This window comes from Homo sapiens, chromosome X (assembly GCF_000001405.40).
Source record: "Homo sapiens chromosome X, GRCh38.p14 Primary Assembly".
In the NCBI taxonomy this organism is placed as follows: Eukaryota; Metazoa; Chordata; class Mammalia; order Primates; family Hominidae; genus Homo; species Homo sapiens.
Window position 1 is genome coordinate 102,794,566 of NC_000023.11, and position 27,072 is coordinate 102,821,637.

Consider the following 27,072-nt stretch of genomic DNA (forward strand, 5'->3'; position numbering starts at 1 on the left):
ACTACTTTAGCTGTGTCCCAGAGATTCTGGTATGTTGTCTCTTTGTTCTCATTGGTTTCAAAGAACATCTTTATTTCTCCCTTAATTTCATGATTTACCCAGGAGTCATTCAGGAGCAAGTTGTTCAATTTCCAAGTAGTTGTGTGGTTTTGATTGAGTTTCTTAATCCTGAGTTCTAATTTGATTGCACTGTGGTCTGAGAGACTGTTTGTTATGATTTCAGTTCTTTTGCATACTTCCAGTTATGTGGTTGATTTTGGAATAAGTGCCATGTGGCACTGAGAAGAATGTATATTCTGTTGATTTGGGGTGGAGAGTTCTGTAAATGTCTGCTAGGTCCACTTGATCCAGAGCTGAGTTCAAGTCTTGAATATCCCTGTTAATTTTCTGTCTTGTTGCTCTAATATTGACAATGGGGTGTTAAAGTCTCCCACTATTATTGTGTGGGAATCTAAGTCTCTTTGTAGGTCTCTGACAACTTGTTTTATGAATCAGGGTGCTCCTGTATTGGGTGCATATATATTCAGAATAGTTGGCTCTTGTTGAATTGTTCTCTTTACCATTATGTAATGCCCTTCTTTGTGTTTTTTGATCTTTGTTGGTTTAAAGTCAGTTTTGTCAGAGACTAGGATTGCAACCTCTACTTGCTTTTTTTTTTTCTTTTTTTTTTTAACTTTCCATTTGCTTGTTAAATTTTCCTCCATCCCTTTGAGCCTCTGTGTGTCTTTGCCCGTGAGATGTTTCTCCTGAATACAGGATATTGATGGGTCTTGGGTCTTGACTCTATCCAATTTGGCAGTCTATGTCTTTTAATTGGCACATTTAGCCAATTTACATTTAAGGTTAGTATTGTTATGTGTGAATTTGATCCTGTCATCATGATGCTATTTGGTTATTTTGTGCGCTCGTTGATGCAGTTTCTTTGTAGTGTCATTGGTCTTTATATTTTGGTGTGTTTTTGCAGTGCCTGATACTGGTTTTTCCTTTCCATATTTAGTGCTTCTTTCAGGAGCTCTTGCAGGGCAGTCCTGGTGGTAACGAAATCCCTCAGCATTTGTTTGTCTGGAAAGGATTTTATTTCTCCTTCATTTCTGAAGCTTAGTTTGGCTGGATATGAAATTCTGGGTTGAAAATTCTTTTCTTTAAGAATGTTGAATATTGGCCCCCAGTCTCTTCTGGCTTGTAGAGTTTCTGCTGAGAGATCTGCTGTTAGTCTGATAGGCTTCCCTTTGTAGGTGACCTGGTCTTTCTCTCTGGCTGCCCTTAACGGTTTTTCCTTCATGTCAACCTTGGAGAATCTGATGATTATGTGTCTTGGGGTTGATCTTCTCGTGGAGTATCTCTTCTGGTGGAGTTCTTTGTATTTCCTGAATTTGCATGTTGGCCTGTCTTGCTAGGTTGGGGAAGTTCTCCTGAATAATATCCTGAAGTGTGTTTTCCAGCTTGTTTGCATTCTCCACATCTCCTTCTGGTACTCCAGTCAATCCTAGGTTTGGTCTTTTTATGAAGTCCCACATTTCTTGAAGCCTTTGTTCAGTCCTTTTTATTCTTTTTTTTTTTTCTGTTCTTCTCTGCATGTCTTATATCAGTAAGGTGGTCTTCATACTCTGATATCTGTTCTTCTGCTTGGTAGATTTGGCTGTTGATACTTGTGTATGCTTCACTATATTATGAGTGTTAGGTTTTATCTTTTTATTTACATTCAGAGGCCTAATATTGTATTAGCTAACTCATCACTAGATACTGTCCTTCATGATGCATATTATGTCATAGCTTGTCTCTTTTATGTTCTACCAATAGGAACAGTCGTTGCCATTATAGGAGGATTTGTCCACTGATTCCTACTATTTTCAGGTTATACACCTAATTTAACTTGAGTCAAAATTTATTTTACAATTATATTTGTAGGTGTTAACTTTATTTATTTATTTATTTATTTTATTTATTTATTTTTTTGAGACAGAGTCTTGCTCTGTTGCCAGGCTGGAGTGCAGTGGCGCGATCTCAGCTCACTGCAACCTCCACCTCCCAGGTTCAAGCAATTCTCCTGCCTCAGCCTCCCGAGTAGCTGAGACTACAGGTGCGCACCACCACAACCAGATGATTTTTGTATTTTTAGTAGAGACGGGATTTCACCATGTTGGCCAGGATGGTCTCGATCTCTTGACCTCGTGATCCACCCGTCTCGGCCTCCCAATGTGCTGGGATTACAGGCGTGAGCCACCGTGCCCAGCCGGTGTTAACTTCCTTTCCACAAAGAAACATTTCCAACATTTCCTTGGCCTATTAGGAATGCCCAACAATACTTCAATTACTCCATACATATGCAATATGAAATGCCATCATTGATAGGCTCATTCATTTCATTAACAGCATTAATGTTAAGGATTTTCATAATCTGTTAAGACTTCTATTCAAAATGAGAAGTCTCAGTACTAGAACTTTCAAATATAAACCTCAAATGACTTCATGGCTGTCTACCACCATATCATAGATTTGAAGAGCTGCTTACATAAAGGCCTAAAATAAAAAAGAAAGGAATCAAATCCCCTATTACTGATTTCAAGCCAGTCCCATAACAATTATGGCTTTCTCAACAAGCAAGATATTAGTAAAAATATTACATAATTTTTTTCAGTTTATTTATAGGTTAAAATTCTTTTTTTTTTTTAAGACGGAGTCTTGCTCTGTCACCCAGGCTGGAGTGCAGTGGTGCAATCTCGGCTCACTGCAAGCTCCGCCTCCCAGGTTCATGCCATTCTCCTGCCTCAGCCTCCCGAGTAGCTGGGATTACAGGTGCCAGCCACCACGCCCAGCTAATTTTTTGTATTTTTTTAGTAGAAACAGGGTTTCACCATGTTAGCTAGGATTGTCTCAATCTCCTGACCTCATGATCTGCCTGCCTTGGCCTCCCAAAGTGCTGGGATTACAGGCATGAGCCACCATACAATTCTTTATATCTTTATGGTGTACCCATTCTAACTGGGCTTTCTCAATGCAATATCAACTCTTATAGACGTTCTCCATTTCCACCACCACACATTAATAACCATTTTCTTAATTATAGAGGACTAATACTATTAATGTTTTATTAATACTAACAACTAAATTAACTTATACACATATACAGATGCTCAAGAAGTAGACAGTATGAACTATTCTACCCACTATTATTTTGAACCTAATTGCCTAACTGTAAACACTATAGGCCACCAATGATTAACATGAAACCCCTTGAGAAAAAAAAATGAACCTTGATTATTGTATAATTCATACAACAGATCTTAAACCAGGGGAGCTACGATTACTTGAAGTTGATAATTGAGTAGTTTTACCCATAGAAATATCAATTTGCATACTAATCTCATTTGAAAATGTATTACATCCATGAACTGTTCCATCATTAGGCTTAAAAACAGACAGAATTACAGGGTGTTTAAATCAAACAACCCCAACATCCACATGACTAGGCCTATATTATGGTCAGTGCTCAGAAATTTTTGGATCAAATCAGGGCTTCATACCTATTATACCTGAATTAGTTCCTCTAAATCATTTAAAAAACTGATTAACATTTTGAAACTATTAACATCTATGTTATAATATCACTGTTAAATAGCATTAACCTTTTAAGTTAAAGACTGAAAGTACTCATCTTTCTGCAATGAAATGCCACAACTAGCTACGTCAACATGATTTATCACTATGGTTTTAATAATTCTTATACTATTTATCTTATTTCAATTAAAAACTTCAAAATATATCTACTGTTTAAGCCCAATACCAAAAAATATTGAAGCATTATAACATGAAACCCCTTGAGAAAAAAAGTAAACAAAAATGTATTGGCATCTTTCATTATCCTTACAATAGTAGAATTACCCTTGATATTCTAATCATTTCATTCCCAAACATTATATTCCCTACCCCAATCACCTAATCAATAATCAACTAATCACCATACAATGATTAGTGCAACTCATATTAAAACAAATTATAATAATATACAATGTCAAAGGGTGAACTTTATCCCTCATATTAATTTCACTTATTCTATTTATTACCTCAACAAACATCAGGATGACTAACCCACTCATTTATGCCAATAACTCAGTTATCAATAAATCTAAATATAGATATCCCACTATAACCAAGAGCAGTTATCACTGACTTCCACCACAAAACAAAAGAGTCATTGGCTTGTTTGCTACCACAAGGATCACCCATTCCACTAACCTCTATACTTGTACTTATTAAAATTAACCTTTTTATTCAACACTTAGCCCTGGCTGAACAACTAACAGCCAATATTATAGCCATCCATCTACTCATACACTTAATCAGTAATGCCACACTAGTGATAATATCCATTAGTTTTGCAACAGCTTGAATGTATTTTAACATTTACATACATATATGCATACACACACATAAACACACGCATACAAGGTCTCGCTCCAATGCTCCAACTGGATGCAATGGCACAATCATGGCTTACTGCACCCTCAAACTCCTGGGCTCAAGTGAGCCTTCCACCTCAACCTCCTGAGTAGCTGGGACTACAGGCGCACTCCACCATGCCAAACTAATATCTTTTTTTACTTTTTTTTTGGAGATGGAGTCTCAGTTTGTCACCCAGGCTGGAGTGCAGTGGCGCGATCTTGGCTCATTGCAATCTCCGCCTCGCAGGTTCAAGCGATTCTTGGGCCTCAGCCTCCCAAGTAGCTGGGCTTACAGGTGTGCACCACGACGCCCAGCTAATTTTTGTATTTTTTGTAGAGACAGGGTTTCACCATGTTGCCCACGTTGGTCTCGAACTCCTGACCTCTAGCAATCCTCCCACCTCAGCCTCCCAAAGTGCCAGGACTACAGATGTTAGCCACTGTGCCCAGCCATATTTATTATTTTAATTATATTTACCATCTTTGAATTTGCTGCAGCCCAAATTCAAACATACCTCTTCACTATACTAGTCTTTACTTGCACAACAATACTTAATGACCTACCAAATACATAGCTATCATGTATTTGACCCTTGACCCTGACCACTTACAGGAGCTCTATCAGCCCTGCTAATAATATCTGACTTAGTAATATGATTTCACTTTAACCTAGCTATCTTATTATCTTTAGGTCTGCAAACCAATAGATTAATGATATACCAGGGATGATGAGATATTGTCCGAGAAAGCAGATTTTCAAGGTCATCACATATTAATTGTTCAAAAAGGCCTATGTTTCTATTTATCATGTCAGAAATCTTCTTCAAAGGCTTCTTCTGAACTTTCTACCACTTCAGTCTGCCCCCAACCCCAGAAGTATGAGGTATCCTACTTGCTATAATTATTAACCAATTAACTAATTAACTAATTTATTTTCATTAGCTTATGCCTCTTAAGCCAATCTAATGAAAATAGCCTAAGTTTTTCATTAGTCTTTTTCTTTGATTCAAAATCAGCCCCCCTTTTTATATTAACGTGATTGCTCTGCTTAATAATTATAGCCAGTCAGCATCATCTCTGCAAAGAATCATATATATGAAAAAATTACATATTTCTCTATTAATCTTTCTACAAATGTTTTTAATGATAAAATTTACTGCTACAGAATTCTATTTTATATGCTCTTTGAAGCAACACTAATAGCAACACTAATCGTCATTACCTGATGAGGAAATCAAACAGAATGATTAAATACAGGACTCTTATTTCCTGTTCTATACACTGGCTCCCTGCTCCTACTCATAGCACTAATTTATATCCAAAACTCCATAGGCTTATTAAACTTCTTAGTAGCCTCCTACTGAATTCAAGCACTACTACCAAGCCCCTGATCTAATAGCCTTTTATGGTTAGCATATATAATAGCATTTATAGTAAACATACCCCTTTAGGCCTTCACCTCTGATTACCAAAAGCACAGGTACAAGCCCCAGTTGCTGTGCCCATGGTTCTTGCAGTCATATTATGAAAATTAGGGGACTATGGCATAATACAAATTACTGTGATTTAAAATCCACTAACAGAATTTATAGCTTACCCATTTCTTATACTATCCTTGTGAGAAATAGCAAACTGTATTTGTTTATGCCAAACGGACTTAAAGTCACTCATGGTATATTCATCCAAAAGTCATATGGCACTCGTAGTTGTAGTTGTTCTTATCCGAACACCATGAAGTTTTATAGGAGCAATAGCCCCAATAATTGCCCATGGCCTCACCTCATCCATATTATTCTGCATCAAGTTATGAATGAATTCATAGCTGAACCATGCTATTAGCTCGAGGACTACAGACACTATTACCTCTCGTAGCTAACATGAGTACTAGCTAGCCTAACTAACCTAGCCCTATCACCAGCCATCAACTTAGAGAGTTATTTGTAGTTATAGCATCATTCTCATTATCTCATTTTACCATTGCCGTAGTAAAATTTAGTATATTTATTATGGCCTTATATTCTCTCTATATGTTAATCATAACATAATTAGGAAAATTTATGTATCACATTAATAATATCAAACCATGCCAGTCACAGTCATGCATGCCTGTAATCCCAGCACTTTGGGAGGCTGAGGCAGGAGGATTACTGGAGTCCTTTCTACAAAAAATAAAAATAGCTGCACATGGTGGCATGTGCTTGTAGTCCAGCTACTTGGGAGGCTAAAGAGGAAAGATTGCTTGAGCCCAGGAGTTTAAGTCTGCAGCAAGCTATGATTGCACCACTGCACTGCAGCCTGGGTGACAGAGTGAGATCCTATCTATATCTATATCTATTTGCAAAATAATATACTCTTCTCACTTAACCCAAAAATCATTCTAGGACCCATATACTGTAAATATAGTTTGAATGAAACATTAGGTTATAAATGTAACAGCAGAAAATTAAAACTTCTTATTTTTTGAGAAAGTGTGCAAGAATTGTTTATGTGATGGATTATGTTTATTGATTTGTGTATGTTGAACCAGCCTTGCATCCCAGGTATGAAGCTGACTTGATCGTGGTAGATAAGCTTTTTGATGCGCTGCTGGATTCAGTTTGCCAGTATTTTATTGAGGTTTTTCGCATCGATGTTCATCAGGGATATTGGCCTGAAATTTTCTTTTTTTGTTGTGTCGCTGCCAGGTTTTGGTATCAGGATGATGCTGGCCTCATAAAATGAGTTAAGGAGGATTCCCTCTTTTTCTGTTGTTTGGAATAGTTTCAGAAGGAATGGTACCAGCTCCTCTTTGTACCTCTGGTAGAATTTGGCTGTGAATCCGTCTGGTCTTGGACTTTTTTTGGTTGGTAGGCTATTAATTGCTGCCTCAATTTCAGAACTTGTTATTGGTCTATTCAGGGATTTGACTTCTTCCTGGTTTAGACTTGGGAGGGTGTATGTGTCCAGGAATTTATCCATTTCTTCTAGATTTTCTAGTTTATTTGCATAGAGGTGTTTATAGTATTCTCTGATGGTAGTTTGTATTTCTGTGGGATCAGTGGTGATATCCCCTTTATCATTTTTTATTGCGTCTATTTGATTCTTCTCTTTTTTCTTCTTTATTAGTCTTGCTAGCGGTCTATTTTGTTGATCTTTTCAAAAAACCAGCTCCTGGATTCATTTATTTTTTTTGAAGGGCTTTTCGTGTCTCTATCTCCTTCAGTTCTGCTCTTATCTTAGTTATTTCTTGTCTTCTGCTAGCTTTTGAATTTGTTTGCTGTTGCTTCTCTAGTTCTTTTAATTTTGATGTTAGGGTGTCAATTTTAGATCTTTCCTGCTTTCTGTTGTGGGCATTTTAGTGCTATAAATTTCCCTCTACACACTGCTTTAAATGTGTCCCAGAGATTCTGGTACATTGTGTCTTCATTCTCATTGGTTTCAAGGAACATGTTTATTTCTGCCTTCATTTCATTATTCACCCAGTAGTCATTCAGAAGCAGGTTGTTCAGTTTCCATGTAGTTGTACAGTTTTGAGTGAGTTTCTTAATCCTGAGCTCTAATTTGATTCCAGTGTGGTCTGAGAGACTGTTTGTTATAATTTCTGTTCTTTTGCATTTGCTGAGGAGTGTTTTACTTCCAATTATGTCATCAATTTTAGAATAAGTGTGATGAGGTGCTGAGAATAATGTGTATCCTGTTGATTTGGGGTGGAGAGTTCTGTAGATGTCTGTTAGATTTGCTTGGTCCAGAGCTGAGTTCAAGTCCTGAATATCCTTGTTAATTTTTCTGTCTCGTTGATCTAATATTGACAGTGGGGTTCATGGGTGCAGCAAACCACCATGGCACATGTATACCTATGTAACAAAACTGTACATTCTGCACATGTACCCCAGAACTTAAAGTAAAATTAAAAAATAAAAAATAAAAGAAAGTGTATAAGAACTACTAACTCATGCCCCCATGTATAACAATATGGCTTTCTCAACTTTTAAAGGGTAGAAGTAATCTGTTGGCCTTAGGAGCCAAAAAATCGATACAACTCCAAATAAAAGTAAATAAATATATTTTTTCATTTTTTTCACAATTTCACTAATCCTCCTAATTCTACCAATTATTGTAACTATAACTACTGTTTATAAAGTTATTTCTAACCTCACTATGTAAAAATCTCTATTTCATACACTTTTACAACCAACCCCATTCCAGCCATAATATTGACTTGCTTGAGCCAATAAATAATTATTTCAAACTGTCACGATCCAAACTTTAAAATTAACACTCACCTTCAAGCTAGATTATGTCTTTTTAAAAATTTTAAAAAATTTCCATAGGTTCTTGGGGAACAGGTGGTGTTTGCTTACCTGAGTAAGTTCTTTAGTAGTGATTTATGAAATTTTGGTGCACCCATCACCAGCGCAGTATACACTGTACCCAATTTGTAGTCTTTTATTCCTCACCCCACCCTTCCTCCAAGTCCCCAAAATCCATTGTTGCATTCTTACACCTTTGCATCCTCATAGCTTAGCTCTCACTTATGAGTGAGAACATATGATATTTGGTTTTCCATTCCTGAGTTACTTTACTTAGAATAATTGTCTCCAATTCCATCCAGGTTGCTGTAAATGCCATTATTTTGTTCTTTTTTTATGGCTGAGTAGTATTTCATCTACATCTATATCTATATCTATATATGTTTGTGTATATATATATGTATGTGTGTATATATATATATATATACACACACACACACACATACATACATATACATTTTCTTTATTCACTCATTGATTGATGGGCATTTGGGCTGGTTCCATATTTTTGCAATTGCGAATTCTGCTGTTACAAACATGCACGGGAAAGTATCTTTTTCATATAATGATTTCTTTTCCTCTGGGTAGATACCCAGTAGTGGGATTGCTGGATCATATAGTAGTTCTACTTTTAGTTGTTTAAGGAATCTCCACACTGTTTTCCATAGTGGTTGTACTAGTTTACATTCCCATCAGCAGTGTGAGTGTTCCCTTTTCACTGCATCTCTGCCAACATCTATTTTTTTTTTATTTTTAGATTATGCCCATTCTTGCAGGAGTAAGATGGTATTGCATTATGGTTTTGACTTGCATTTCCCTTATCATTAATGATGCTGAGCATTTTTTCATATGTTTGTTGGCCATTTGTATATCTTCTTTTGAGAATTTTCTATTCATGTCCTTAGCCCATTTTTTGATGGGATTGTTTGTTTTTTCTTGCTAATTTGTTTGAGTTCCTTGTAGATTCTGGATATTAGTCCTTTGTCGGACTAATATCTGATTGTGAAGATTTTTAACCACTCTGTGGGTTGTCTGTTTACCCTGCTGGTTGTTTCTTTTGCCGTGCAGAAGCTCTTTAGTTTAATTAAGTCCCACCTATTTATCATTGTTTTTGTTGAATTTGCTTTTGGGTTCTTGGTCATGAAGTCTTTGCCTAAGTCAATGTCAAGAAGGGTTTTTCCAGTGTTATCTTCTAGGATTTTTATGGTTTCAGGTCTTAGATTTCAGCACTTGATCCATCTTGAGTTGATTTTTGTATAAGGCGAGAAATGAGGATCCAGTTTCATTCTTCTACATGTGGCTTGCCAATTATCCCAGCACCATTTGTTGAATAGGTTTTTATCAGTAGCATTTTTTATTACATGATCTATCATAGAGTTCTCAATATGCTATATACATTCAGATCCAAACATTAACTGATTCTTTAAGTATTTGCTCATATTTCTTATCACTATACTATTTCTAGTTACTCTCAACAACTCCTTTCAACTGTTTGAGAACAAGCAAGAATTATATTATTTTTGTCAATTGATTATATGGTTGAATAGACACAAATACAGCAGCCCTCCAAACAATTTTATGTAACTGCATGGGAGATACTGGATTTATACTACAATAATATGGGTTTTTTATTATATTCAAATACATGAGAATGCAACAAATTTTTATGCTCAATTCCTATCCCAATATCCTTCCATTAAGTGGAGTCATTCTGGCAACTGACAAGTTTGCCCAATTTGGCCTTCACCCATTATTACCATCAGAAATAGAAGGTCCAACACTTGTCTCAGCCCTACTCCATTTCATCACAGTGTTATAACAGGGGCTCTTAACCCAATTTTATGCACTAATAGAAAATAATAAAACAATCCAAACACTAAAAATATGCTGAGGTGCTATTACCACTACATTTACGGCAATTTGTGCCCTAACACAAAGTGACATCAAAAAGATTGTCACATTTTGTACCTCAAGACAACTAGGTCTTATAATAGTCATTATTGGTATTAATCAACTACATCTAGCACTTCTCCACATCTAGACACATGCATTCTTTAAAGCTATACTATTTATATATTCAGAGCCATCATCCACAACCTTAATGATGATCAAGATATTCAAAAAATAGGATGTCTATTTAAATACATACCTCTTCAATCCTCCTTACTTATTATTGGAAGCCTTGCACTCATAGGCATACCTTCCCTTACAGGCTTCTACTTCAAAGACTTATTTATCAAAACTGCAAGCATGTTGTATACTACTGCCTGAGCCCTTTTAATCACACTTATCACCACCTCCCTAACAGCTGTCTACAGTACTCAAATTGTCTTTTTTGCACTCCTAGGACTACCTAGTTTTTCAGCTTTCATTATTATCGGTGAAATTAACTCCTTCCTAATTAATTCAATTAAACCTTTAACAATTGGTAGTATTTTTGCTTTTTTAAAAATTTCCAACAACATTTCTCCTGTAACTATTCCCCAAATGACTATGCCATTATACCTAAAACTTTCAGCCCTTGCCATAACTATCTTAGGCTTCATTATGGCAATTAGAATTTAACCTAATAACATGTAATCTCAAATTTGAATTCTCCTCATACATATATAAATTTTCTAACCTTCTAGGGTTTTTCCAACAGTTGTTCACCATTTATCAGCGTACCTAAACCTTTCTAAAAGTCAAAATACAGCATCACTTTAATTAGACTTGACTAGAAAAATACCAAAAATTATCTCATCTCCAAATAATAGCCTCAGTAAGTATCCCTAACCAAAATGGCCTAATTAAATTATATTTTTTCTCTTTCTTCATTTCATTTTTATTATCTATACTTCTAGCCACTTAATTACTGTGAGTAATTTCAATAACAACAAAATATTAACAAAAGGATCAGTCACTTACGACCATGAATCAACTCCATTAACTGTACAATGCAACCACACCTATAGAATCTTCACAAAGAAGCCTGACTTCTTTACCCTCAAAAATCACCCAATCCTCTAAATTTTTGAAATCAATAATAATTTTTATTTCATCATAGCCTATTATTTATACAATGATTAAATAATTATATTAATAATCCTAACTATTGTTAGGATTTGAACCTCCCCCAAATAACAACACCAGATCCTCACATTTCAGGATTGTATTTAGTAGCTATGGTTATAGGATTCTAAATACTACCAGTATCCCTGCTAAATAAATTTAAAACACTATCATTCCCATAAAACATCCACCAAAATTTATTACAATCCTGCATTCCACACCACCATTGATAACCCTAAACCCATGTAATAGGTAAAAGTTTTGAAGAAAGTCCTATGATGCCTACAACAAAAATAGTAACAAAATATAGTATATGTCATAATTCTCACATGGAATCTAATCATGACCAATCACGTGAAAAATCATCATTGCACGTCAACTGTCAGAGCTCTGATAACCAACATTTAAAAATCTCACTTCCTAATAAAAATTCTTATTTATTGATCTACCTGCACCATAAAACAACTCAACATGAAGAAATTTCGGTTTCTTCAGACTGAGTTTGCCTAGCTTTACAAATCATTACAGGGCTTTTCCTAGCTATACACTGTACCTCAGACACAGTAACTGTGTTTTCCTCTATCACACACATCTGCTGAAATGTAAGCTATGGCTGAATCATTTAATATCTGCCTGCTAATGGATATCTATATTCTTTATCTGTTTATTCATGTAGGCTGAGGTCTGTACCTTTCTAGAAACCTGAAACATTGGAATTATTCTTTTATTCACAGTAATAGCTATAGCATTCATAGGCTATGTCTTACCATGAAGAGAAACAACAATCACAAATTTACTATCAACTATTCCATACGTTGGCACCAACCTGTTAGAATGAATCTGAGGTGGATTTTCTCTTGACAAGGCAACTTCACACAATTCTTCACCTCTCATTTTATTCTGCCATTCATTGTTTCAGCTCTAATTATTGTGCACCTTTTATTCCCACATGAAACAGGATCAAATAACCCAAGGAATCTCAACCAACTCAAATAAAATCCCATTCCACTCCTATCACAAAATTAAAGGCATTTTAGGATTTATTTTTCTACTATCACTTCTACTCAAACTTGTTTTATTCTCCCCTGACTTTTTAGGAAACCCAGATTATATTCCAGCAAATCCCCTCAATATACCACCTCATATTAAACCAGAGTGATATCTTCTATTTGCCTGTGTAATTTAGGATCTACTCCCAATAAACTAGGAGGTGTCATAGCCCTTGTGCTCTTAATCATAATTTTAGCAATCATCCCAATCCTTCAGTTATCTAAACAACGAAGCATGATATTCCAGGTACTAAGCCAATGCCTATTCTGGGTTCTAGTATTATAATAACCTCATATTCACACAAATCGAAGGTCAATCAGTAGAACACCCTTTCATTATTATTGAACAACTATTATCCATTTTATATTTTTCCCTTGTTCTCATATTAATACCACTTACTAGCCTAATCAAGAATAAACTTCAATGAAGAGTTCTTGTAGTTTATTAAATTTGGTCTTGTAAACCAAAAATGGAGAGCACCTCTCCCCAGCGCAGTCAAAGGAAAAGCTATTCACTCCACTATCAGCACCCAAAGCTGATATTCTATTCCCTGATTCTTATACTGAATGCAAAGAAATTGTTCTTGAGTTCTATGTCAGTATGGAAAAAAAACATAAAATCTAATCACCCTGTGTACATCATGCATCATGTAATTTACCCCATTAATTATGTAGTAGTACTATATACACTTCATCACACATTATACATTTTTATCTTATGGTGCTTTAAAATCCATTCCCCATGCATACAACCATGCACATCAAACTAATCACAGTGTGTAATACATTAAATTAAAAGTCCACACATATGGATTTAACCATGAGTATTGTTCCATACAGTAAGTTCTTCATTTTACATAGGACATAATATTATTGATCATACATAGCACAGGAAGTCAAATCCTTTTTTGACAACATGCTTATCACCTCCAATAGGATTTCTTGTCTACCAAGCTTTGATAAATTAGCAGTCTGCTCAGGAAGTGTCCATCTTCTCACTCTGGACTCAGAAAACTTGGGGGTTTCTAGACTGAAACTATACCAGACATCTGGTTCTTATTTCAGGGCCATGAGCTTATATCCATCCTCTTTTTCCTCTTAAATAAGACATCTCAATGGACTAATGACTAATCAACCCATGATCACTCATAACTGTGGTGTCATGCATTTGGTATTTTTTAATTTGGGGGGATGATGTGATCCAACATGGCTGTCAAGGCCTTGACAAAACTTGACTGTAGTTGAACTTAAATTGAATGTTATTTTCCCAAACAAAAACGATAAGGTGTTAATTAATCCATGCTCAATGGGCATAATAAAAACAAGATACAGTCACAGATGCATAATTATTCCCATCATACATGATTAACTCTGCAAACTCCCTCTAATCCCCTACTTTAAGCTGTTACAGTATTTATGTAAATATCAATCTTTTATTCTTGCCAAACCCCCCAAACAAAAAATCTTATATCTGCTGATTATTACCTAAGGCTCTAATATGTACCCACATATTATTAAATTCAATTATAAACTTATCCAAAATATTATTTCAGCCTAACTCCTAATTAAAGCATTTTCTAAAACAAACAAAAAAATCCATTAAAAATTTGATTTTCTAAGCTAAAACTTTTTGTTTCTCAATAAGATTATCAAAAAACTCTCAATACTAGAATAATACTTAAATTTAGCAATTTCCCCTCGAGAGTATTCCCTAGATACAAGCTGATGTAGCTTAATTCAATAAAGCAAGCCACTGAAAATGCCTGGATGAATTCATGTGACTTCATAAACACACAGGTTTGGTCCTGGCCTTTTCAGTGAGATTACATATGCAAGTGTCTGAATACCAGTGAGAATGCCCTCTAGATCAGTGGAAGATCAAAAGGAGCAGATACCAAGCACACTAATTAGTATCTCATAATGCCTTGCTCAACACACTCCCACAAGAAACAGCAGTGATAGAAATTAAACAGTAAATGAAAGTTCGAGCAAGCTATAGTAATTTCCCATAGGGTTGGTAAATTTCGTGCCAGCCACTGAGGTCATATGATTAACCCAAATCAATAGTACCCAACACGTTTATGATTATGTCTAACTAAAGCTAAACTGTAAGCCATAAAAGGCAATAGCTAAAATGAAAATAAACTATGAAAGTGACTTTATTATGTTCTGAATTTAAAATAGCTAAGACCCAAACTGGGATTAGATACCCTACTATGCTTAGCCATAAACTTAAATAACTGAATAAAGTTATTTGCCAGAGTACTACTACCAGCAACAGCCTAAATCTCAGAGGATTTGGCAGTGCTTTATATTCCTCTAGAGGAGGCTGTTCTATAATTGATAAACTCTGACAAACCTCTCCATCTCTTGCCGATTCAGCCGTATACTGCTGTCTTCAGCTAACCCTAAAAAGTCTTAATCACAAATATTTACATAAAAACGTTAGGTCAAGGTGTAGTCTATGAGATGGGAAGAAATGGGCTACAGTTGCTAATTAAAGAACACTCCACCTATAGTAACCCCTATGAAACTAAAGGTCAAAGGAGGATTTAGTAGTAAATTAGGAATAGAGAGCTTAGTTGAATGAACATGAACACACCACCTATCAGCCTCCTGAAATACTTTAACAAACCCAAATTTATAATTAACACAAATTTATGTATAAAAGAAGGTAAGTCACAACAAAATAATCATACTGGAAAGTGTGCTTAGGTAAACCAAAATGTATCTGAATTCAAAACACCTGGCTTACACCCAGAAGATTTCATATTAATCTGACTACTTTGAACCAAAACTAACAAATCTCAACAATTACATATATTTAAATGAAAACATTCATTCATAAAAAGTATAGAAGATAGAAATTTATTTAGGTGCTATAGAAATAGTACTGTAAGGGAACAATGCTAAGAATAATTTTTAAAGTACAAAAAAAGCAAAGCCACAAGGTAGTGATGCCTTGTAGTTTTCATTTACATTTCCCTAATTGATTAATGATGTTTGAGTATATTTTCATGTGCTTATTTGACAGTTGTTTATCTTCTATAGATGAGTGTCTATTCAACTCTTTTGCCTATTTATTTATTGGAGTGTTTAATTGAATTTTGTGATATTTTTCTATATTTTGGATACAAGTACTTTATCAGATATGATTTTCAAACATTTTCTCCCAATCAGGGGCTTGTCTTTTCATTCTCTTAACAATGTCTTTGTAAGATGCAGAGTTTTTAACTTTGACACATTCCAAATTATTGATTTATTCATCTAAGAAATCTTTACCTAACTCAGGGTCACAATTTTGCTCTCCCATGTTTTCTTCTACAAGTTTTACAGCTTTAGGTTTTATATTTACATCTATGATCCATTATGAATTGCCTTTTGAATTGTCTTTTGTACATGGTACAATATATAGATCAGTATATAATTGTGTATATGAATATCTACTTGTTTCAGCACAATATATTGAAGATACCATCCTTTATACATTGAATGGCTTCTGCACCTTTGTTAAAAGTCAGTTGTCCAATATATGTAGGTCAATTTTTTGGTGGTTTATTTTGTTCTTTTTTTTTTTTTTAATTATACTTTAAGTTTTAGGGTACATGTGCACATTGTGCAGGTTAGTTACATACGTATACATGTGCCATGCTGGTGTGCTGCACCCACTAACTCGTCATCTAGCATTAGGTATATCTCCCAATGCTATCCCTCCCCCCTCCCCCTACCCCACAACAGTCCCCAGAGTGTGATGTTCCCCTTCCTGTGTCCATGTGATCTCATTGTTCAATTCCCACCTATGAGTGAGAATATGCGGTGTTTGGTTTTTTGTTCTTGCGATAGTTGACTGAGAATGATGATTTCCAATTTCATCCATGTCCCTACAAAGGACATGAACACATCATTTTTTATGGCTGCATAGTATTCCATGGTGTATATGTGCCACATTTTCTTAATCCAGTCTATCATTGTTGGACATTTGGGTTGGTTCCAAGTCTTTGCTATTGTGAATAATGCCGCAATAAACATACGTGTGCATGTGTCTTTATAGCAGCATGATTTATAGTCCTTTGGGTATATACCCAGTAATGGGATGGCTGGGTCAAATGGTATTTCTAGTTCTAGATCCCTGAGGAATCGCCACACTGACTTCCACAATGGTTGAACTAGTTTACAGTCCCACCAACAGTGTAAAAGTGTTCCTATTTCTCCACATCCTCTCCAGCACCTGTTGTTTCCTGACTTTTTAATGATTGCCATTCTAACTGGTGTGAGATGGTATCTCATTGTGGTTTTGATTTGCATTTCTCTGATGGCCAGTGATGGTGAGCATTTTTTCATGTGTTTTTTGGCTGCATAAATGTCTTCTTTTGAGAAGTGTCTGTTCATGTCCTTTGCCCACTTTTTGATGGGGTTGTTTGTTTTTTTCTTGTAAATTTGTTTGAGTTCATTGTAGATTCTGGATATTAGCCCTTTGTCAGATGAGTAGGTTGCGAAAATTTTCTCCCATTTTGTAGGTTGCCTGTTCACTCTGATGGTAGTTTCTTTTGCTGTGCAGAAGCTCTTTAGTTTAATTAGATCCCATTTGTCAATTTTGTCTTTTGTTGCCATTGCTTTTGGTATTTTGTTCTTTTGATCTACCTTTCTGCCTTGATGCCAGTAGCACACTGTCTTGATTACTATGGGTTTGTAAGAAGTCTTAAAATTAGGTAGTGTTTGTCATCCGTTTTGTTCTTTCTCAATGTTGTTTTCATAGTCTAGATCCTTTGTATTTTTACATGAATTTTAGAAACAGCATTTTACTTTCTGTTAAAACTATATCAGTTAGGATTTTTATTGGGATTGTTCTGAATATATAGATCAGTTTAAACAGAACAGGCATCTTAACAACACTGAGTCTTCAAACTCATGAAGACAGTATGTCTCTATTTATTTAGGTCTTTAGTTTCTCTTTGCAATGTTATATAGCGTTCACTATACAGACCTGTCACATATTTGGATAGATTATTCCTAGTTATTTCATATTTCTTGGTGCTCTTATAAATGCCAGTAGTTTGAATTACATTTCTGCATATTTTATTTTCACTGAGCTGTCAGCTGCCAAATGTTTAACAGTAGCTGTTAATCTTCTAGGTTGAGATCTCAGGCTATAAAACGGAAAAGGTACCTGATACTTAACAAGCATTTGCCTGTGTTTCCATGTCAGCTTTCAGAAGTTATTGAAAGTGTACTGTAACTCGAGGAAAAAATGTCCCAGAGACAAATCAACAGGTCATCTCCAGAAAAATCCATTATAAAATAGTTTAGTAGATTTCAGCTTTCTATGTGCTCAGAATTGAATCTGTTGAATTGTGGGGTTTGTTACCTACTCCCCATCACCAGCAATCCATCTCAATGAATTCCTGGGATCTTGGGTGTTGAGAAAGAAAGAGAGAGAGAGAGAACATGTATGTATGTGAGTATGTATGTGGGTATGAATGTGTATATTGCTGAAGCTGCCAGAAGTATTTATGGTGAGGAATACCTCAGGTTAATTACTGTAGTCATATCAGACCAGTTTAGTTCCTAGGACATACTAGAAAACAAATCAAAGTGATGGTTATTTTCTTTTCCAAGCTGTCTTGGCCCACATTGTTACCATGGTGACTCAGTGACTGCCATGACATTTGGTACAGAATGAGCATTTGTTTATGTTTTTTGCCTGAATCACGTATTATTATGATAGTTGTTAAGTGAATGTTTTCCAATTCTGATATTCCTTCTGGAATTATTAGTTTGCATCTGAGAAAAAGATAGAGCTTTTTCTTTTCCCTTATTTATTTATCAATGTATTTATTAACATTTATTTATGTCAATATGACTCTGAGATTCCCATGTTCCTCAAAGGATTACCCTCTGTAGTTATTAGTATACATTTTTTGTATTAGGCCATTCTTGTGCTGTTATACAAAAATACCTGAGACGGTAATTTATGAAGAAAAAGGTTTAATTGGCTCATGGTTCTGCAGGCTGGACAGAAAGCATGGTCCCAGGATCTGCTTGGCTTCTAGGGAAGCCTCAGAGAGCTTTTAATCATGGCAGAAGGCAAAGCAGTAGCAGGCATGTCACATGCCAAGAGTGGGAGCAAGAGAGACAGACAAGGGGAAGGTTTCAGACTTTTAAACAACCAGATGAACTAACTGATGGAGAACTCACTTATCACCAAGGGGATAGCACTAAACCATTCATGAGAAATCCACCCCCATCATCCAGTCACACCCCATCAGGCTTCACTTTCAACAATGGGAATTGCAATTCTACATGAGATTCAGAGGGGATAATATCCAAACCATATCAATTTTGGTGCTCAAGTGTTCTCAAAACTGGCTAGTGGGAGCCCCTTAAAGTAGGCCTCATGTCCATTTGAAGCTTCCATAAAATTCCTTGAATATGTACTTGGCCCCCTAAGCCTATTATCCCTCATCTGTAGAAAGGAAGCTCTGATGTCAGCCTCAGAACATCACTGTGAGGACTTGAAGATAAAAAGTCTGAAAATAACAACCTACAGTGTATGGTACCTAGTAGACTATCAGCAAATGGTAATTCCCCATTCCAACTTGCCTCTTCCATTCTGTCAATGGAATGCCTCTGGCGTTAACATAATGGCCTAACTACTAGAGCAAATACTTGGAAATGTAACATCAAGCAGGAATAAGCCCACATTTCCATTATGTGTGAGCTTCAGTGTCACTGCTGTGTGTGGGAGGGGTTCTGGGATGGAGTTGAGGAAGAGGAAAAACATCACTGCTCAGCTTCCAGTTAACTGAGTGGGGATAGGCCAGACATCATCACCCCATCCCCTGCATTTCATGTGCTTTCTTATCCTCTTACTTTCTTCTCTATTCCATGTGCTTTCTTATCCCCTTACTCTCTCTTCTAGTTTAACATCAGAGACTCTGAAAGCCTCTTAGGTTACTGGAGCAAGAGGAAAGAGACCCAAGTCACATCATGGGGACACTTTAGGCAGGGCATACCTTTCTGCCAGTTTTGTCTATCCAATGGGATAATAATACCCACGCCTCTAGACCACCCAGGAATACTCTGGAATTTAAGTGTGATCCCATGTGGCAATCTGCGGTCTTATGTGGTGGGGAAGAACCAGTGAACTTTCAGCTAAGTATATTAACAGAGCAAATGCAGATATCCCAGAACTTTGTATGGTGGGCATTAAATTTATGGTACCCAACTCTGAGCTGTTTAGGTCAGGATTTTTACAAGTGTGATCTATGGACCACTTCATCAGATTTGTCCACAGTTGCTTGCTAAAATTGCACATACTTGAGGCCATCCTAGATCTGCAGAATCAAAACCAGGGAGGTGAAGTGAGAGGTGTCTAGATTTTGAGTAATTTCTTTTGTTGTTTCTGTTACTCATCCACAATTGAAAAGCAATGCTATGGATGGCAACAAGGTCTATAAAAAGTTTAAATCCTTTGATGTCTAATTTCATTGTTAGTTGCTCCTGCTACTCAGCTTTAAATTTCTGTGTCTTCTCTTGTGTGTCCAGTAGGTAACAATTTTTTCAATACAATAATTCTTATTCAGTGATTTATGTATGAGACACTGAAGAAACATCATAGAGAATAAAAGAAGAATCCCTGGAGCTATTGTTCTAGTTTGGGGAAACTGGCAATAAGCAGGTAAACAAATCAATGAGTGAGGCAATTTCATATGGGGATTTGTGTTTTGAAGAAAATGAACAGGTAGAGTAGAAAATGACTGAGACAGGGATTATTATAGATGGGGTTGTCAGTGAAGCTCTTTCTCAGGAAGTGATGCTTGAGCTGAGTCCTGAACAACAGAAAGAAGCCAGGCATGGAAAGGCCATTTTGTCAGTGTCCCTGTGCTGTGTGTGGGCACCATTGATCTAGGAGCAGAGGACAAGTTGAAGTGGCTGAAGCCTGGCACGTAAGTGCAGACAGGTGGGAGATGAGGTTGAAAGGGCAGACAAGAGCCACATGGTTTGGATCCTTTAAGGAGTTTGGGTTTTATTCTGAGTGTGGAAGGCTAGAGTACAGGAGTGACGTGATCTGATTCTTGTTATCAGAAAGTGTCTCTGGCCACTGTGTGGAGAATGGACTGGAGAGGGACAAAATAAGGAGTGGGGATAACCGTTAGAAGAATATTGCAGAAATTCAGGGAAGAGGCACAGATGAATGGCACCAGGACTGCAGCTGTGTGCAGAGGAAGGGTTAGACCTGGACAGGTCGTGTTTGGAGGTATGACACGGGGGACCTGCAATGGCTGTGTGCGTGGGGTGTGTGGGGATAAGGCACAGTCAAGGAGGACCCCTCAGCTGTTTGGCCGTACAGAGAAATGGTGGGCTGTTTTCTGAGATCAGTCCTTCCAAGTGCTTTTGAGGCATTCTTAAGGTAATTAGTCAACCAACAGTGGTTGTAGTGAAAAAAAGTGATTTTAAAAATGCATTAGTTGATGACTGATATTCATACCTGAGGGTAGAGGGAGAGAGGAGAGTAAGGATTGAAAACTACCTACTGGGTACTATGCATATTACCTGAGTGGCAAAATAATCTCCACACCAAACCCCTGTGACACACGATTTGCCTGTATAACAAACCTTCACATGTACTCCTGAAACTAAAATCAAAGTTAAAAAGCAAACAAAAACTTAAAAAATAAGTAAAATCAAAAGCTATATAAGGCAAAGATAGGTAAATATTACAGCAAAGTTAAAAACTATTATTTAACAAAAGATACCACAAACAAAAGTAGAGAACTCCAACAGATTTGAGGAAAATATGCCATTTTTATAATAAAGAATGAGTATCTGGATCATAAATAAATAAGAAAAAGGAAAAAGAAGACTCATTTGTAAGACTATTAAGCTTTATTGAATTGGCTTGATTTAATCTTTCCACAATGTAAACATATATCAAAACATTACAGTGTACCCCATAGTATATACAATTATGCCAGTTAAAATTAAAATTTTAAAAATACCTGAGTTGATAAATAGGATTCAGTTGCAAGACTATTAAGCTTTCTTTCCCCAGTATCTCTGCCTTAGATAGAATTTTCAAGTTAATGTGATCCCTGGCCATTTATATTTTTAAAAACCAGCACACAGGGACTTTTTAATTTTAATTTTAATTTTAAGTTCCATGGTACATTTAAAATATGTTTTGTCCTCTATTGTAAGTACTATATAATACTGGTTTTACTGACAAGACTTTGAGTGATTTTATGGTGAAATAAAAGTATTCAAAGTCACAAGATTTTTACATGGCAGAACTAGGGTTTGTCTCTAGTCTATATACAGAGCCTACACTCCTCTAACCAGTACACTTAGGAAGAAGAGACAGACATTTGTTGAACTATGTCAACCCATGGTGGTTGGTGTAACATTGAGACCATAGCTCTTTTATCTATGTTTCTGTAGTCATTCTACATTGTACCAGATGGTATTTAAGAAAAAGTAATAATTTTTAAAATAAAAACATTAATAAACATCATAGTTACTTTGTACTAGACAACTTGGCTGTTGATGTAGATAATTCGTTGGACCCCCAAGACGAATGAGTTCTCTTTCCTTTTAGGAACTCAGAGTGGTTTTCCAGATGGGAATCACATTGCTCTCTGTCCCTGAGATCTTGCTGGAGACAGGGCTACTCAGTCCCTCTTTGCCAGGTGAGTATAGATGCAGTGTGGTGACTTACTCAAGGGCACCTAGAGTTAGTGGGATAGGTCTGGCACTGTGGCCAGGTATGTCTCCTGTCCCATATCCATCTGCATGTCCATTATACACAGCTGTATTAGTTTGTTTTCATGCTCCTGATAAAGACATACCCAAAACTAGGAACAAAAAAAGGTTTAATTGGACTTACAGTTCCACATGGCTGGGGAGGCCTCAGAATCATGGTAGGAGGTGAAAAGCTCTTCTTACATGGTGGCAGCAAGAGAAAATAAGGAAGAAGCAAAAGCGGAAACCCCTGATAATCCCATCAGATCTCGTGAATCTCATTAACTATCACGAGAATAGCACGAGAAAGACTGGCCCCCATGATTCAGTTACCTCCCCCTGGGTCCCTCCCACAACATGTGGGAATTCCGGGAGATACAATTCAAGTTGAGATTTCGATGGGGACGATGGGGACACAGCCAAACCATATCATTCTGCCCCTGGCCCCTCCAAATCTCATGTCCTCACATTTCAAAACCAATCATGCCTTCCCAAGAGTCCCTCAAAGTCTTAACTCATTTCAGTATTAACCCAAAAGTCCACAGTCCAAAGTCTCATCTGAGACAAGGCAAGTCCCTTCCGCCTATGAGCCTGTAAAATCAAAAGCAAGCTAGTTACTTCCTAGATAGAATGGGGATAGAGGTATTGGGTAAATGTAGCCATTCCAAATGGGATAAATTGGCTAAAACAAAGGGGTTACAGGGCCCATGCAAGTCCAAAAATCCAGCAAGGCAGTCAAATTTTAAGGCTCCAGAGTGATCTCCTTTGACTCCAGGTCTCACATCCAGGTCACACTGATGCAAGAGGTGGGTTCCCATGATCTTGGACAGCTCCGCCCCTGTGGCTTTGCAGGGTGCAGCCTCCCTCCTGGCTGCTTTCATGGGCTGGTGTTGAGTGTCTGTGACTTTTCTGGCCATATGGTGCAAACTGTCAGTGGATCTACCATTCTGGGGTCTGGAAGACAGTGGCTGTCTTCTCACAGCTCCACTAGGCAGTGCCCCAGTAGGGACTCTGGGGGCTCCAACCCCACATTTTTCTTCTGCACTGCCCTAGCAGAGGTTCTCCATGAGCGCCCTGCCCCTGTAGCAAACTTTTGCCTGGGCATCCAGGAGTTTCCATACAACTTCTGAAATCTAGATGGAGGTTCCCAAATTTCAATTCTTGACTTCTGTACACCTGCAAGCTCAACACTTCGTGGAAGCTGCCAAGGTTTGGGGCTTCTACCCTCTGAAGCCACAGCCTGAGCTGTATGTTGGCTCCTTTCAGCCACAGCTGGGACACAGGGCACCAAGTCCCCAGGCTACACACAACATGGGGACCCTAGGCCCAGCCCAGGAAACCATTTTTTCCTCCTGGGCCTCCAGGCCTGTGATGGGAGGGGCTGCTGTGAAGGTCTCTGACATGGCCTAAAGACGTTTTCCCCATGGTCTTGGGGATTAACATTAGGCTCCTTGCTACTTATGCAAATATCTGCAGCCAGCTTTAATTTCTCCCCAGAAAATGGGGTTTTCTTTTCTATCACATAGTCAGGCCACAAATTTTCCAAACTTTTATGCTCTGCTTCCCTTATAAAACTGAATACCTTTAATAGAACCCAAGTCACATCTTGAATGCTTTGCTGCTTAGAAATTTCTTCTGCCAGATACCCTAAATCATCTTTCTCAAGTTCCAACTTCCACAAATCTCTAGGGCAGGGACAAAATGTTGCCAGTCTCTTTGCTAAAACATAACAAGAGTCACCTTTACTCCAGTTCCCAAAAAGTTCCTCATCTCCATCTGAGACCACCTCAGCGTGGATCTTATTGTCCATATCGCTATCAGCATGGGCAAAGCCATTCAACAAGTCTCTAGGAGGTTCCAGACTTTCCCACATTTTCCTGTCTTCTTCTGAGCCTTCCAAACTGTTTCACCCTCTGCCTATTACCCAGTTCCAAAGTTACTTCCACATTTTTGGGGATCTTTTCAGCAACACCCCACTCTACTGGTGCCAATTTACTGTATTAGTTCATTTTTACACTGCTGATAAAGACATACTTGAAACTGGGAACAAAAAAGGGTTTAATTGGACTTACAGTTCCATATGGCTAGGGAGCCCTCAGAATCATGGCGGGAGGCGAAAGGCCTTTCTCACCTGGTGGCAGCAAGAGAAAATGAGGAAGAAGCAAAAGCGGAAACCCCTGATAAACCCATCAGATCTCGTGAGACTCATTAGCACAAGAATAGCATGGGAAAGACTGGCCCCCTTGATGCAATTACCTCCCCCTTTGTCCCTCCCACAACATGTGGGAATTCCGGGAGATACAATTCAAGTTGAGATTTAGATGGGGACACAGCCAAACCATATCAGCAGCATTAGCCGTGTTCATAGCTGTAGTGCTTCACTTTTCAAGGGCTCAGAGGATATGTGCTTCTCTGAGGTTAACCTGCAGATAATATACGGGAACACTAAGTACCTTCAAATAAGAAAAAATAGGGTGTTGAATTTTTTATGTAGCCCAAACTGTAATGGGAAATTTGAAGAAAAATTCCTAGAATCATACATCATGTTCTCTTTTCTAACTTCCTTCCTTCAATCAACATACTGTATGTGAGATTTACATTTATTATTATCTATAGTCGTAGATCATTCATCATCATTGGTGGATATTATTACATCGAGTGGATATTTCACAATAAGCATATCTGCTATGTGGATTTTTTTCTAGTTTTTGACATGAATAACAGCGTTATGAATGTCTTGTACATATCTTTGGATAAACATTTATTTTTCTTTCTTTTGGGTGCGTACCTTCCCCAGACCTAAGAATGAAATTTCTGAGTTGTAGGGTGTGTGTATGATCAGGTCAGTCAATATTGCCAAGCACTTTTTCAAAGTGGTTGTTGAATTTATATTTTCACCAGTGCTGTGAGAATTACACAGCTTCCATGTCCTCACCAACACTTGGTGTTTTCCATCTTTTTAATTTTCTTTTTCTGGTGTAAGTGTGGTGGTATCTCATTATGGTTTTAATTATACTTTACTTTCTCATTAACTCTCTGGAGTTTTAAATCTCTTTTCTCTCTTTGTTTTTGCTTTTCAACTTACATATTGAGTATTCCTAATCTGCAAATCCAAAAGCCTCCAAAATCTGAAACTTTTTGATCATTGACATGATGCTCAAAGGAAATGCTCAGTGGAGCATTTCAGATTTTGGATTTTCAGATTAATGATACTCAACTTGTATTTGCTTATTATACTGGAACTTTGGTTTGTGGAGTTTACATTCTCAATTTTGCTGATTGTATCTCCATTGTGCTGTTACTTACATTGCTCTGGCCCCTCCTATTTTCTATAAATTAGTAGAGTTAGAGGCTTCATCCAGTTCAGGATTTTTTGGCAAGAGTACCTCAGATGTGTTACATACTTCCTATATCCTTACACCAAGTCTTAGTTCAGGCTGCTTTACCAAATTACCACAGACTAGGTGGCTTAAATAACAAACATTTATTTCTCATGAGTCTGGAAGCTAGAAGTCTAATCAGGGTGCCAGTATAGTTGGGTTCCTGGTGAGGATCCTCTTCCTGGTTATGTCCTCACATGGCCTTCCCTTGGTGTGTGCATGCAGAGAGCAAGTAAACTCTCTGTGTCTCTTCTTATAAGGACACTAATCTCATAATGAGGGCTCCACTTTGATGACCTAATTATTTCCCAAAAGTCCTATTTTTAAATACTGTCACATTGGAGATTAGGGTTTCCACATATGAGTTTTGGGAGGACACAAGCATTCAATTCATAGGCATACAAGGAGCGTCATTGTGTCTTATTGTCACTCCTACCTTGACATTAAGATTGAGCACTGGGCTCAGGTGTTGTTAGACTGATCCATCTATTATGTAATTTCCCATCTGCTTTTTACCTCATTATTTTTTACAATCTCTGATCTTTACCAAGATCTGCACTTCATTAAAAATTCTAAAATGATGATGTTTAGATACTACAATTTCTTCTGCATTTATTAGCTGGACATTTTCTATAAGAGAAACTCCCCCCCGCCCCCCCCAACCCCCGCCCAAGCCCCTGCCAACTAGTAGGCTTAACTGAGGTATGGCACACACAGGAAAGGAAGGACAAATATTTAATCATTTTGCAGTATTTCCAGTTTTAAGAATAAGTATTGTTTCTGTAGGATCCTCCACAGATTAGCAGTGAGTTGGTTTTGTTTGTGTTTTTTCTTTTAGAGTGTCATCACGACTCAGAGATGTTTCTGTATGTGATGTGTTTTAACTCACTGTAGGCACCAATGTTTTTGATGCTTAAATTGTTCTTATTTGGTCTGTGGAAGTCCTATCAGGTTGGCTTCTGAGTCTTTTTGATATGTTCGCTGGTATGATCATTCAGTCCAGACTCATCTGGTACAGCTCTACCACAGACTTGGATTCAGCCATTTTTCCTTGTGGGTAATATTTTTAGAGGACTCAATCTGGGTACTAGAGTTCTTCATTGCTACTGGGTTGGCCATTGTT

The 27,072-nt window shown here is 37.2% G+C and overlaps 1 protein-coding gene, 1 long non-coding RNA gene and 8 pseudogenes across 9 annotated transcripts in view; 9 read left to right on the forward strand and 1 right to left on the reverse strand.

Moving 5' to 3' along the window:
- ARMCX5-GPRASP2 (ARMCX5-GPRASP2 readthrough) overlaps positions 1 to 27,072 on the forward strand; it is a 308,717-nt gene that overhangs the window by 195,218 nt on the left and 86,427 nt on the right. The window contains exon 6 of one of the 2 annotated variants that reach the window (NR_146587.2): positions 22,427 to 22,517. The exons of the other annotated variant lie outside the window; for it this stretch is intronic. The gene's annotated coding sequence lies outside the window, so the exon portion shown is untranslated. The remainder of the gene's footprint in view (positions 1 to 22,426; positions 22,518 to 27,072) is intronic. 2 annotated transcript variants of the gene reach the window in all.
- LINC00630 (long intergenic non-protein coding RNA 630) overlaps positions 1 to 27,072 on the forward strand; it is a 195,371-nt gene that overhangs the window by 25,413 nt on the left and 142,886 nt on the right. For 3 of the 7 annotated variants that reach the window (NR_146593.1, NR_038988.2, NR_146592.1), the window contains one exon: positions 22,427 to 22,517. The exons of the other annotated variants lie outside the window; for them this stretch is intronic. This is a non-coding gene — a long non-coding RNA (long intergenic non-protein coding RNA 630). The remainder of the gene's footprint in view (positions 1 to 22,426; positions 22,518 to 27,072) is intronic. 7 annotated transcript variants of the gene reach the window in all.
- MTCO1P19 (MT-CO1 pseudogene 19) lies at positions 1,586 to 2,628 on the forward strand (annotated as a pseudogene).
- On the forward strand, positions 2,966 to 3,563 carry MTCO2P19 (MT-CO2 pseudogene 19; annotated as a pseudogene).
- Positions 3,831 to 4,995, forward strand: MTATP6P19 (MT-ATP6 pseudogene 19; annotated as a pseudogene).
- Positions 4,898 to 5,418, forward strand: MTCO3P19 (MT-CO3 pseudogene 19; annotated as a pseudogene).
- On the forward strand, positions 5,401 to 6,526 carry MTND4P32 (MT-ND4 pseudogene 32; annotated as a pseudogene).
- On the forward strand, positions 10,067 to 11,555 carry MTND5P26 (MT-ND5 pseudogene 26; annotated as a pseudogene).
- Positions 11,599 to 12,081, reverse strand: MTND6P32 (MT-ND6 pseudogene 32; annotated as a pseudogene).
- On the forward strand, positions 12,176 to 13,259 carry MTCYBP32 (MT-CYB pseudogene 32; annotated as a pseudogene).